The 12,923-nt window shown below is 40.4% G+C and overlaps 1 pseudogene, 1 gene segment (V, D, J or C) and 1 further gene; all 3 read left to right on the plus strand.

Annotated features, from left to right (window-relative positions):
- Positions 1–12,923, plus strand: part of IGL (immunoglobulin lambda locus) — an 896,838-nt gene that overhangs the window by 383,692 nt on the left and 500,223 nt on the right.
- IGLV1-40 (immunoglobulin lambda variable 1-40) lies at positions 50–515 on the plus strand. The segment is given in 2 exon segments: positions 50–95; positions 217–515. Coding segments are annotated over 2 exon segments (345 nt in total).
- Positions 10,610–12,020, plus strand: ASH2LP1 (ASH2L pseudogene 1; annotated as a pseudogene).

The raw sequence follows: 12,923 nt of genomic DNA on the forward strand, positions 1-12,923 counted from the left end.
TCTGCTTCAGCTGTGGGCACAAGAGGCAGCACTCAGGACAATCTCCAGCATGGCCTGGTCTCCTCTCCTCCTCACTCTCCTCGCTCACTGCACAGGTGACTGGATACAGGTCCAGGGGAGGGGCCCTGGGAAGCCTATGGATTCTTGCTTTCTCCTGTTGTCTCTAGAAGCCGAATAATGATGCCTGTGTCTCTCCCACTTCCAGGGTCCTGGGCCCAGTCTGTGCTGACGCAGCCGCCCTCAGTGTCTGGGGCCCCAGGGCAGAGGGTCACCATCTCCTGCACTGGGAGCAGCTCCAACATCGGGGCAGGTTATGATGTACACTGGTACCAGCAGCTTCCAGGAACAGCCCCCAAACTCCTCATCTATGGTAACAGCAATCGGCCCTCAGGGGTCCCTGACCGATTCTCTGGCTCCAAGTCTGGCACCTCAGCCTCCCTGGCCATCACTGGGCTCCAGGCTGAGGATGAGGCTGATTATTACTGCCAGTCCTATGACAGCAGCCTGAGTGGTTCCACAGTGCTCCAGGCCCGGGGGGAACTGAGACAAGAACCCACTTCCTCCTCTGCCAGGAGGGTGAGCCCCGGCAGCTGCTGCTCAGGCCTGGCCTGTGGCTTCTGCGGCTGCTGCTTCCCTCATGGTCCCAGGGGCATCCAGGGCCCTGCCTGGGAGTGGAGGCTCCTCCTCCCCTTCTGTCCTCAGAGTCAGGAACAGGGAATCCAGGAAGCAGAATATCCCTCTCCCTTAACTTGGGACACAAAGTCTCTACACTGAAGTTCTGGACTCAGGTGGCAGATCCAGTTGTGTCACCTCAGACCCACCTCTGATAGGGAACCCATGTATTCATTATTCTCCTTTCCCCAATTCCAGGAGTTTCCGGAGTGGTGTCTTCCTCTCCCTGCTCCTCAATGTGAGTCCCTGTGTTTCTTTTCTCCCAGGCCTATTCTTTTTTTTTTTTTTTAACAAAACTCCTTTCATGAAGGAAAAATGCACACCTAATAAACCAGCTGAATTTATAGCATTAAATTCGGCCCATTTTGGCATTTTTCTGGATCTTTGAAAATATCACCACCACTGAGCTATGCAACCTCTGACTAACCCCAGCAGCCCTTCATGATGCTTTGTCATCTCCTTCACTCCCCGAATGCCCTCCTGGGCAGCCAGGAATCTGCCTTTGCCACTACTGTATGGTTTCCATTTTCTGAAACTTACTAGTGTTATCAAACACTATCTTCCCATTTGTTCGAGCTTCTTTCACTCTGCACACTTCTTTTCAGATTCTCCCTGCTGTTGCTGAATTGCATCCCATTCTACAGAGGGCTCATTACAACCTTTGAGGGTCTAGGACATTCTCTTCTGATTCTATTTATTTACTTATTTATTTTAAAGTTTGAATTCATTGTCCATCAAATCAAACTCTACGGGTGATGTTCATCTAAGGTGACAGGAGTCAGTGAGGGCTTCTCAGGATTCTTGCTTCTTCATCTCTTCCCTCTAATTCTTTCTATAATGGGAGAATTTCTTATCTTTTTAAAGTTTTTCTATTTATTATTTTATGTTGGCTTTTAAGGTTTTTAGTGTTTTTTAAAATTTTTTTATTTCAATAGGTTTTTGGGAAACAGATGTTGTTTTGTTACATAAATAAGTTTGTTAGTGGTGATTTCTGGGATTTTGGTGCACTCATCACCCAAGCAGGGAACACTGTACCCAATGTGTAGTCTTTTATCCCTCACCCCATCCCACCCTTTCTCCTGAGTCCCCAAAGTCCGTTGTATCATTCTTATGCCTTTGTGTCCTCATAGCTTAGCTCCCATTTATGAGTGAAAACATATGATGTTTGCCCTTTTATTCCTGAGTGAATTCACTTATAATGATAGTCTCCATTCCATCCGGGTTTCTGTTAATGCCATTATTTCATTCCTTTTTAAGGCTGAGTAGCAGTCTACATATATATATATATATATATATATATATATATACCACATTTGCTTCATCCACTCATTGATTGATGGGCATTTGGGTTGGTTCTATGTTTTTGCAATTGCAAATTGTGCTGCTATAAACATGAGTGTTCAAGTAATTTTTTCATGTAATGACTTCTTTTCCTCTTGGTAGATACCTAGTAGTGAGATTGCTGGATCAAATGGTAGATCCAGTTCTTTAATGAATCTCCACACTCTTTTCCATAGTGGTTGTACTAGTTTACATTCCCACCAACAGTGTAAAAGGGTTCCCTTTTCACCACATCCATGCCAGCATCAATTATTTTAATTTTTTTATTATGCCCATTCTTGAGGGAGTAAGGTGGTATTGCATTGTGACTTTGATTTTCATTTCTCTAATCGTTAGTGATCTTGAGCATTTTGCCATATGCTTGTTAGCCATTTGTATATCTTCTTTTGAGAATTGTCTATTCATGTCTTTAGCCCACTTTTTGATGAGATTGTTTGTTTTTTTCTTGCTGATTAGTTTGAGTTCTTTGTAGATTCTGGATATTAATACTTTATTAGATGTATAGATTGGGAAGATTTTCTTTCACTCTGTGGGTTGTCAGTTAACTCTGCTGACTGTTTATTTTGCTGTGCAGAGGCTATTTCATTTAATTCAGTCCCATCTATTTATCTTCGTTTTTAATGCATTTCATTTTGGATTCTTGGTTATAAAGTCTTTGCTTAAGCCAATTTCTTCTAGAATTTCTAAGGTTTCATGTCTTAGATTTAAGTCTTTGACCAATCTTGTGTTAGTTTTGTATAAGATGAGAGATGAAGATCCATTTTCATTCTTCTACGTGTGACTTGCCTATTATCTCAGCACCATTTGTTGAATAGCGTCTCCTTTTCCCACTTTATGTTTTTGTTTGCTTTGTCAAAGATCAGTTAACTCTAAGTATTTTGCTTCATTTCTGCATTCTCTATTCTGTTACATCGGTCTATGTGCCTATTTTTATACCAGTACCATGCTGTTTTGGTCATTATGGCTTTATAGCATAGTTTGAAGTCAGGTAATGTGATGCTTCCAGATTTGTTATTTTTGTGTAGACTTGTTTTGGCTACCGGGGCTCTTTCTTGGTTTCATATGAATTTTAGTTCTATGAAGTTCTGTGAAGAATGATGGTGGTATTTTGATGGAAATTGTATTAAACTTGTAGATTGTTTTGGCAGTATGGTCATTTTCACAATATTCATTCTATACATCCATGAGCATAAAATGTATTTCCATTTGTGTCATCTGTGACTTCTTTCAGCAGTGTTTTGCAGCTTTCCTGGTAGAGGTCTTTCACTTTCTTGGTTAGGTATATTTCTAAGTATTTTAGTTTTTTGGCAGCTATTGTAAAAGGGGTTGAGTTCTTGCTTTGATTCTCAGCTTGGTTGCTGTCGTTGTATAGCACTGCTACTGATTTGTGTCCTTTAATTTTGTATCCTAAAACTTGCTGAATACTTTCACTAGTGCTAGAAGCATTTGGGGTGAGTCTTCAGGGTTTTCTATGTATACAATCATATTATCAGCAAACAGTGACAGTTTGACTTCCTCCTTATCAGTTTGGATATCCCTGATTTCTTTCTCTTGTCTGATTGCTCTGGCTAAGACTTCCAGTACTACGTTGAATAGAAGTGGTGAAAGTGGGCATCCTTTTGTTGTTCCATTTCTCAGGGGAAATGCTTTTAACTTTTCCCCATTGAGTATAATGTTGGCTGTGGGTTTGCCATAGATGGCTTTTGTTGCCATAAGGTATGGTCCCTTCTATGCTGATTTTGCCAAGTTTGAATCATAAAGGATGCTGGATTTCGTTAGATGCCTTTTCTGCATCTATTAAGATAATCATGTGATTTTGTGTTTTAATTCTGTTTATATGGTGTATCACATTTATCAACTTGTGGATGTTAAACCATCTCTGCATTTCTGGTATAAAAGCAATTTGATCATGGTAGATTATCTTTAAGACAGCTGTTGGATTTGGGTAGCTAGTATTTTGTTGAGGATTTTTGCATCTAGATTCATCAGAAATATTGGTCTGTAGTTTATTTTTGTTATGTCCTCCCTGGTTTTGGTATCAGAATGATACTGTCTTCACAGAATGATTTAGAAAGGATTCCCATTTTCTCTATGCTGTTGAATAGAGTCAGAAGGATTGGTACCAGTTCTTCTTTGAATATCTAATAGAATTCAGCTGTGAATCCATCTGGTCCTGGATTTTTTGTTGTTTGCAATTTTTTTTATTACCATTTCAATCTAGCTGCTTGTTATTGGTCTGTTCAGAGTTTCTACATCTTCCTGGTTTAACCTAGTAGTGTTGTATATTTCCAGGAGTTCATCCATCTCCTTTAAGATTTCTAGTTTATGTACATAAAAGAGTTCATAGTAGCCTTTAATGATCTTTTGTATTTCTGTGGTATCAATAGTAATATCTCCCGTTTCATTTCTAATTGAGCTTATGTGGGTCTTCTCTCTTCTTTTCTTGGTTAATCTCGTTAATGGTCTGCCAATTTTATTTATCTTTTCAAAGAACCAGCTTTTTGTTTCATTTATCTTTTGTATTTTTTTTTGTTTTGACTTCATTTAGTTCTGCTCTGATCTTCATTATTTCTTTTCTTTTCCTGGGTTTGGGTTTGGATTGTTGTGGTTTCTCCAGTTCTGTGAGGGGTGACCTTAGATTTTCTACTTGTGCTCTTTCAGACTTTTTGATGTAGGTATTTAATGCTATAAACTGTCCTTTAAGCACCACTTTTGCTGTATCCCAGAGCTTTTGACAGGTTGCATTAAGATTTAGAACAATTGCAATCTTACTATCAATCAACAGCTTTTTAATTCCTGAGGATGTGACCTCATTTAATCCTGACAATAGCTTTATTATTGCTTTTCAGGCAGTAGACCGTGATTGAAGAGGTAATGCTTTGTGGCCTGGAGGTAAGGTTCTAAAATTTATCAAATATTAAATTGGTGCACAAGTAATTGCAGGTTTTACAAATAAAAGTAATGGCAAAACCCACAAGGACTTGTGCACCAATGTGATATAAACACTGGAGGTCAGTTAAATTTGAATTCAGTAAAAACAATGATAAAGAATCTGTATGTGTATCACCCACACAGTATTGTTCAATTGTAATACAAACAACTGGGTGCCCTGCATTTTATCGGGAAACTCCACACAGGGTTCGCAGCTTGAAAGAGGCAGAGCTGTGGCAGGCCTGCCCTTCCTGATGCCAGGTCTAGGTGCTTAACGTCAAAGACAGAGCTTCTCTAAGAGAGCTACCCTCAAGTGAACATGTCAGTTGGCACTAAATACATGTGATATGATCCCCAGTCAATGATCCCCACTCACTTCCCTAATTCTTTCTATTATCCTTTAAGTTTGCAGACTCAGGGCCTCCCCAGAAATTGCTGCAGCCTGAGTTCTGGACCTGGGACCGCATGTCCTGTCACAACCAGATGCAAAAGGGCTCTTTAGTCCCTACACAGAATGGCTTCAGCCAGGAGAGCATAAATAACATGTAAGATTAGAAGAGCTCAGAGGGGCTCTCCTTCTGTCCCATGACAGATGAAACTTCAGGGCTCTGATGCTTGTCAGGGAATCTCCTTCAGTGAGGCCAAGATCCCAGGACTTTACTAAAATTAGCAGAGTGGACCAGACAGGCATGTCATGGTACAGGAATTGTGTTCAGAACAATAAGTGCAGATGCATCTTAACAAGGGCCTTCACGTTCTATCTTTGGTGAAAAAGGAAATAGACAAAGGCATGGAGAAACTGAAGGACTCAATGGGTCTGGGACTGAGGTAGCGCTGAGTGCTTTGGGCTTGTCCTGGAGCAGTCTGCAGATGATAACAGCTGGGAAGTCCACCCCTGCTGTGACCTTGTTTCATCTGCCCACTGGATCAGTGGCTGTGTCCTCACAGGAAAGCTGGCTGTAGCCAGACTGGCCTTCTCCATCCCACCTGGGAAATGTATTCAGATGACTCTCTGGGGTGAGGTTCTACTAAGGGCTTGGGAGTTATGAGGAGGGGGCTGATTTGCATGAAAGAACCATTTCACCCCCTTTCCTTCATCTAAAACCCATTAATAGAAACTTCAGGGCCATTCATAGAAGTCCAGCTGGTCTCCTACATTTGTGGGGCATAAAGGATCAATGCCTGATGAATGCCTGATCAATCTAAAGGAAGAGGGGCTATCAGCAGGTAGTGGTCAGAGTGAGAAAGGAACTGACTTTTTTGAGAGATTCATCAACACAGCCACCAACTCTGGGACAAATGGGGTGACTCTCTGTAACTGTCACCCCAAATTACCCACAGGACACTGAGCCAGTCCCCTCATTCTATTGCTTCTGGTTCTAGTCCATTCCCCTATTGTCCCTAAACACGTTGCCCATGTCTGAGTCCAGGGTGGCAGGGATACCTCCATCCCAGTCAACATCTACAGAGGGCCTCTTCTGTTCCCCTCTCACCTCATGCAGGTTACTACTGTTGTGGGTCTGGTGGAGTGGCCCCTGGAGAACACAAGGTATCCCTTCCTCTGGAAAGCCAGGCATGTAATAGACATGGTATGGGTTGATGTAGAGCAGAGTGGCTCATCCAGATGCAAAGCAGTAAGACCTTGGCTACAGAAAATTATTTCACAAAATTCCACACCCTTTCATGACAAAAACACTCGATGAACTATAAATAGAAGGAAACTACCTCAACATAGTAAAGACCATCTATGAAACTCCCATAGTTTACATCACATAAAATCTGAACAACCAGAGACATTTTCTGTAATATCAGGAACAAACCAAGGATGCATACTTTCACATCTTCAATTCCAAATATTATTGGAAGACCTAGGCAGAGCATTTAGCCTAGAAAAAGAAATAAACAGAATAAAAACTAGAAATAAAAGTATAAAATTATCTCTGTTTTCAGATGACATAATGTCATATGTAGAACGCCATTAAAAGACCCAGAAAATAATTCTGAAAGAATGATTAAGTGAATTTGGTAATGTTTCAGGATACAAAATCACCACTTAAGAACATCTCATGGCTAGGCATGGTGGCTGACGCCTATAATCCCAACACTAGGGAGGCTGAGGTGGGAGAATTGCTTGGGGTCAACAGTTCAAGAACAGCATGAGCAACAAAGCAAGAACCTGTCTCTACCAAAAATAAAAAAATAAAAAGGAAGGAAAGTCACTTGTATTTCTATACTTAACCAAACAGGACACCACCCAAAATGAAATTAAGAAAACAATTCAAGAGGACCCACAGACCCTCTGAAGGAAGGGGACTGCACCCGCAGGACCCGGGAGACACCGCAAATACTGTGAGTGCCTCAACTGCGGAAGTGGGAAAAGGAGACCCTCCTCTCCCAAACACACACCCCTACTGAAGAATGTGAAAGTCTGTTAGCAGGAGAAGTTCTCAACTTTACCTGGAACGGAGTTAAGTTAGACAGCCAAGCTCAGTGAAATACACAGGTGTAGGAGGTAGCGGGGAGGCCCTGGGAACTTGCTGAATCCCCAAGCAACCCATTCCTTTCTGGCACCACAGGAATACATCAGGAAGGAGGACAGACAAGCAGCGGGTAAAACTCCACGGGAAGAAGGACTTCCCTAGCTGAACTTTGCAACAATTCGAATCGGGTGAGAGGCCTCCTGGCTCTAGTATCCATGGCACTAGTATCCATGGCTGAGAGGCCCATGGATAGTTCACATCACAGGACTCTGTGCAGAAACCCCCAGTACCAGCCCAGAGCCGGGTAGACTTGCTGGGTGGCTAGACCCAGAAGAGAAACAAAAATCACTGCAGTTCAGCTCGCAGGAAGACATCCACAGGAAAAGGGGGAGAGTGCTACATCAAGGGAACACCCCATGGAACAAAAAAAATCTTACCAGCCTTTAGCCCTAGACCTCTCCTCTGACAGAGCCTACCAAAATGAGAAATAACTTGGGGGGAAGAGTGGGAGAGGGGCGAGGAGTAAAAGACAACAAACATGGTACAGTGTATACTGCTCAGGTGATGGCTGCACCGGGATCTCACAAATCACCCCTAAAGAACTTACTCATGTAACCAAACACCATCTTCCCAATAACTTACAGAAAAAAAAAAAAGAATATTATAACAATGGAATCATATATTATGCAGCCTTTCAGCATTGGCTTTTTTCACGGAGCACAATTTCCTTGAGATATATCTGAGTTGCGTTGTATCAATTATATAGTTTGTTTCTTTTTATTGCTGAGTAATGTTTCATGGTACGGTTGTATCAAGCTTGTTTAACCATTCGCCAGTTGAGGAACATGTGGATTATTTCCAGTTTATTTTTTTGGCTATTAGGAATAAAACTACTATGAACATTCTTATACATTAAAAAAAAAAGAAAACAATTCAAATTTCGTCATTAGAATGAGTAAAATGCGGCTGGCACGGTATCTGGTGCCCATAATCCCAGCACTTTGGGAGGCTGAGACGGGGGATCATCTGAGGTCAGGAGTTGTTAGAGACCAGCCTGGCCAATATGGTGAAACCCTGTCTCTACTAAAAAAAGATTAAAAAAAATTAGCTGGGTGGGTGGCACACTCAGTGATTGCAGCTACTCATGAGGCTGAGGCACAATAATCACTTGAACCCAGGAGACAGAGTTTGCAGTGAGAGGAGATGGTGCCACTGCACTCTAACCTAGGTGACACAGTGAGACTCTGTCCCAAATAAATAAATAAATGTAAAATACTTAAGAATAAACTTAAGAAGGTAAAACACTTGCACATTGAAAACAATAAAACATTGCTAAAAGAAATTGAAGAATACACAAATAAATGGAAAGACGTTTTTGATTATGTATTGGAAAACTCAATATTGTTAAGATACCAGTAGAAACCAAAATAAAATATACTATAGAGTCATCACAATCTTTATCAAAATTCCAATACTACTTGGTACAAGAATGGATATAATTCTAAAATCCAGATACCCAAAATAGCCAAAATAATCTTGTAAAAGAAGAACGTTGTTGGAATCCTGACACTTCCTGATTCCAAAGCATACTAAAAAGATACACTAATCAAAACAGAGTGGTACATATAGACAGACATACAGACAAATAGAATAGAATTGAGTGCCTTGGAGAAAACTCTCAGTTATATGGTCAAATGATTTTCAACAAGCTTGCCAAGACCATTCGTGAGGGAAAGAACAGTCTTTTTAACAAATGCTGTTGAGAAAACTGGATATCCACATGCAATCTGGAAGTGAATCAAAGACACAAATGGGAGAGCCACAACTGAATCTTAAAAGAAAACATTGGGAAGTAGGTCCACAACGTAGGGTTTGGAAATGATTTCTTGGATATGGCACAAAAAAGACAGGGAAAACATAGAAAAAGAAGAATATAGATAAATTGCATTTCATCAAACTGTAAAACTTATGTGCAGCAAAGGACACTACCAACAGAGTGAAAATGCAGATAATAGAATGGGAAAGATTGTTACAAACTTTATATCTGATAAGGCATCCAAGCTATAGAAAGAACTTCTACAACTCAACAGTAACAACAAAAATAGGAATAACCCGAAAAAAACAAGGACAAAGGACTTGAGTAGATATTACTACAAAAAAAGATCTACGAATGTCCAATAAGTACATGAAAAGATGTACAGCATCACCAATTATTAGTACACTGCAAATCAAATCACAATAATATACAACTCTATACCCATTAGGATGGCATTAACCAAATAACAGAAAATTAAAAGTTCTAGCAAAGATGTTTAGAAATTGCAACTGTTACGATTTGCTGGAGAGACTGCAGAATGATGCTTCCACTGTGGATGCCTTATGGCTGTTCCTCATAAAATCAAACATAGAATTACCATTTTATCAGAATTTTCACTTCTGGGAATGTGCCTGAAAAAATTGAAAGCAAGATCTCAAAGAGAAAATTGTACATCCTCGTTCATAGCAGCATTGTTCACAATAGCTAAAAGGTGGAGGCAGCCCAAGTGTCAACTAATGAATCAACAAGATATATTATACACACACAAGGGAATATTATTCAGCCTTAAAAAGAAAGTCTGACCCATGCGATGGCATGGATGAACCTTTAAGACATCATGCCGTCAGAAATAAGCTGACTTCAAAAGGACAAAAATTGTTTGCCAGCCCTTATATGAGGTACCTAGAATAGTTAACTCCACAGTGACAAGAAGTAAAACGATGTTTCCCAGGTATGAAGTTTGGTTTGGGAAAATAAAAAATTTGTGGAGATGAGTGGCAGTACTGTGGTTGTACAACAGTGTTAATTTACTTAATGTCACTGAAGTATACATTTGAAAATTGTTGAAATAATGTATTTTGTGTATGAATATTTTACTACAGCCAAAAAGAGGAAGATTTATGTTTGGTGCAGTTTCTCTACCTCCAAGAACAGTGGAAACCTACAGGACTAGGAGAGTGTGCATGAGTATCCAGGACACTCTTCCTTTTATGCCAGCCCCACAGCATCCAGGACACCCTTCCTTTTATTCCAGCCCTGCAGCATCCTAACAAGTTAAGAGAGTCAGACGTACCTCATTACAGGTGACTCAGAATAATATGAGAAAGTCTAGAGGTGGCCATGATGTTAGCGGTGGGTGCCCAACCCAGCCCAGGAGCAGCCGCAAATGCAACAGTGGCCAAAGAAGGGGAGATGAAGCTGGTGGCAGAGGTAGCAGCCCCTCCAGCTGGAGAGGGGCATCTGCTTCTGTACAAAATGGTTCACAGTTGATAAGTCTTGCATAGATGCCTCATCGTTTACCTCATGACCAACTACAGTTTTCATTGCAATGTACGTTATCATAGCAGTAATGTCTATTTCCTCCTGTAGCAAGCAAACATGAACGAAACGTGCTTTACTGCTTTGTCCAACAGGACATGTTAGTCCCAAACACAGGCTGAATGTTTAAAGGTAACGTTCTCTAAAGATAAGGATATTATACCATTTATTGATAAATACGGGGATTGCATGATGACCATTCAGACACTTGGAATAATTACTTGGCTAAATAACATTGTTTAAACAATGAGTAAATTTAGTTATTCTTTGCAGAGCAAAAAAGATCCAAGTTTCACCAGTCCCTTGGCAAACACTACATTTCAAACTATGGAAGGGAGACATCCTGAAATTTTGTGCTACTCTTTCTGAAGACACAGAAACAGTCAAGTCATACCTAATACTTATGAGCATAAAGCTTTGATAAAATTCAAGAATTATTTGCATTTTGAGGAAAAAGACTTTGTCGCTAAAGCAGAGAAGAACCTAAAACGGACTCCTCATAGTGAGCTAATATTTTATAAAAAGGTGTCAATCAAGGTGTGGCTTACAAAAATACTTTCAAGGATGTTTACTTTCCAGCCATCTCACTGGACAAGAACTGGGTGGTTTTCATTAACTTTGGACTGTGCTTTAATTTCCTAAAAATGATGTCACTTACTGCCCTGAGTGACATGGGATGGGATGCTGTGGTAGAGCACACTCTGGCTGATGTCTTGTACCTGCTGGAGACAGAAAAGGATGGGAGACACAGTCCTCCACAGGAAATCTCAAATGGGTCCCTCTTTCTTTTCAGATATGGACTTTCTGGGGAGTAATACTGTAGGGCTTTTCTTGTTGTTGCCTTTAACTGTCTCAAATGTTCTCCCAAAGATGCTACTGAACACAGCCTCTCCTTTGAGCAAGTTAAAAGTCTGGGTACGACTGCGAGAGGCTCCTGCCTGCCAACACTCTTTCTCCACTTTCAGTGACTGCTCTTCTTCTGAGGGCCGTAAACCAACAACTGCTCATCCCAAGATCCACTAAGCCCTCTGGGAAATTGGTGCTGTACTGCATACCCTGCCTGCTGGGACTTGTTACATTGATGTATTTTCTAAGGAGTGAATAATCTTGTCCAAGTAACTAACTTATTTAAAGACATTTTCTTCGGTGGGCACTGACTCCATGGCACCCGTTTTCCAAGGAGTTGGTGAGCTTGTTTCTGAGAATGCCAGAAATCAATGTACATTCCAAATCATTCTAAAAGTGATTTCTTTTTGGTGTGGGTTTGGTTTTGTTATTAATTTTGAAATATATCTTTGAATACTGAGATCTCTGAAACTACTAGATCTCTAGAAGTGTAATTGGGAAAGAAGGTTGCTTGCAGCTTTAACAAAATGAGAAACTCTTCCCAAATACAACCTGTTTTGAAGTTAAAAAAAAATGTGACATTAGAACCTGCAAAATCTAAGAGTTTCCAACAGCAGTCTCAATTCTGATGCTAACTGTAAGCTAGGGACTCCCCCAACAACGCTTCACTTCTTATGATTCCCAAGAAGGACTCACATCACTCACTGAAACTTGTGACGTTTGTTGATATGATTTTTTACAACAAAAGAATGCAGATTAAAATAATTCAAGGAAGGAGGTACATGGGCAGAGTTCAGGAGAATTCCAAGCACAGGCATTCAGTTGTCCTCTCCCAGTAAAGTAATAGACAATGCTGCATTCTCCTGGCAGCAATGTGTGATTCTGTGCATGAATTATTGCCAACCAGGAAAGCTCGCTGAAGCTTGGTGTCCAGGCAGGTTTTTTTGGGGGTGTGAGTTGGGGATGGGGTTGCTTATGTAGACCTTGTTGATCATCCTTATGGCTGACTCCGACTTGAATTTCCACTGAATTGACAATAAAACTTCAACCTTAAATATTTGGTTATTTTCTTTTTAATAAATTCTCTAAAATAAATTATTTTGAAAATGCTCGCTTTAGCTAGCTGTTTATCCAATATGAGACTCAACATAAATAGTTTCAAAAAGCCAGTGGGTCATTAAAACAATTCCTTTAGTCATCCAAAACATTCAGATAAAAATTAACACCATGTAACACTAAAATCGAATTATAGTCACTGGGGCTGGATTTCAACAACAGGAAGAGAAAGTAGTACAAAT

This window comes from Homo sapiens, chromosome 22 (genome assembly GCF_000001405.40).
Source record: "Homo sapiens chromosome 22, GRCh38.p14 Primary Assembly".
Classification (NCBI taxonomy): Eukaryota; Metazoa; Chordata; class Mammalia; order Primates; family Hominidae; genus Homo; species Homo sapiens.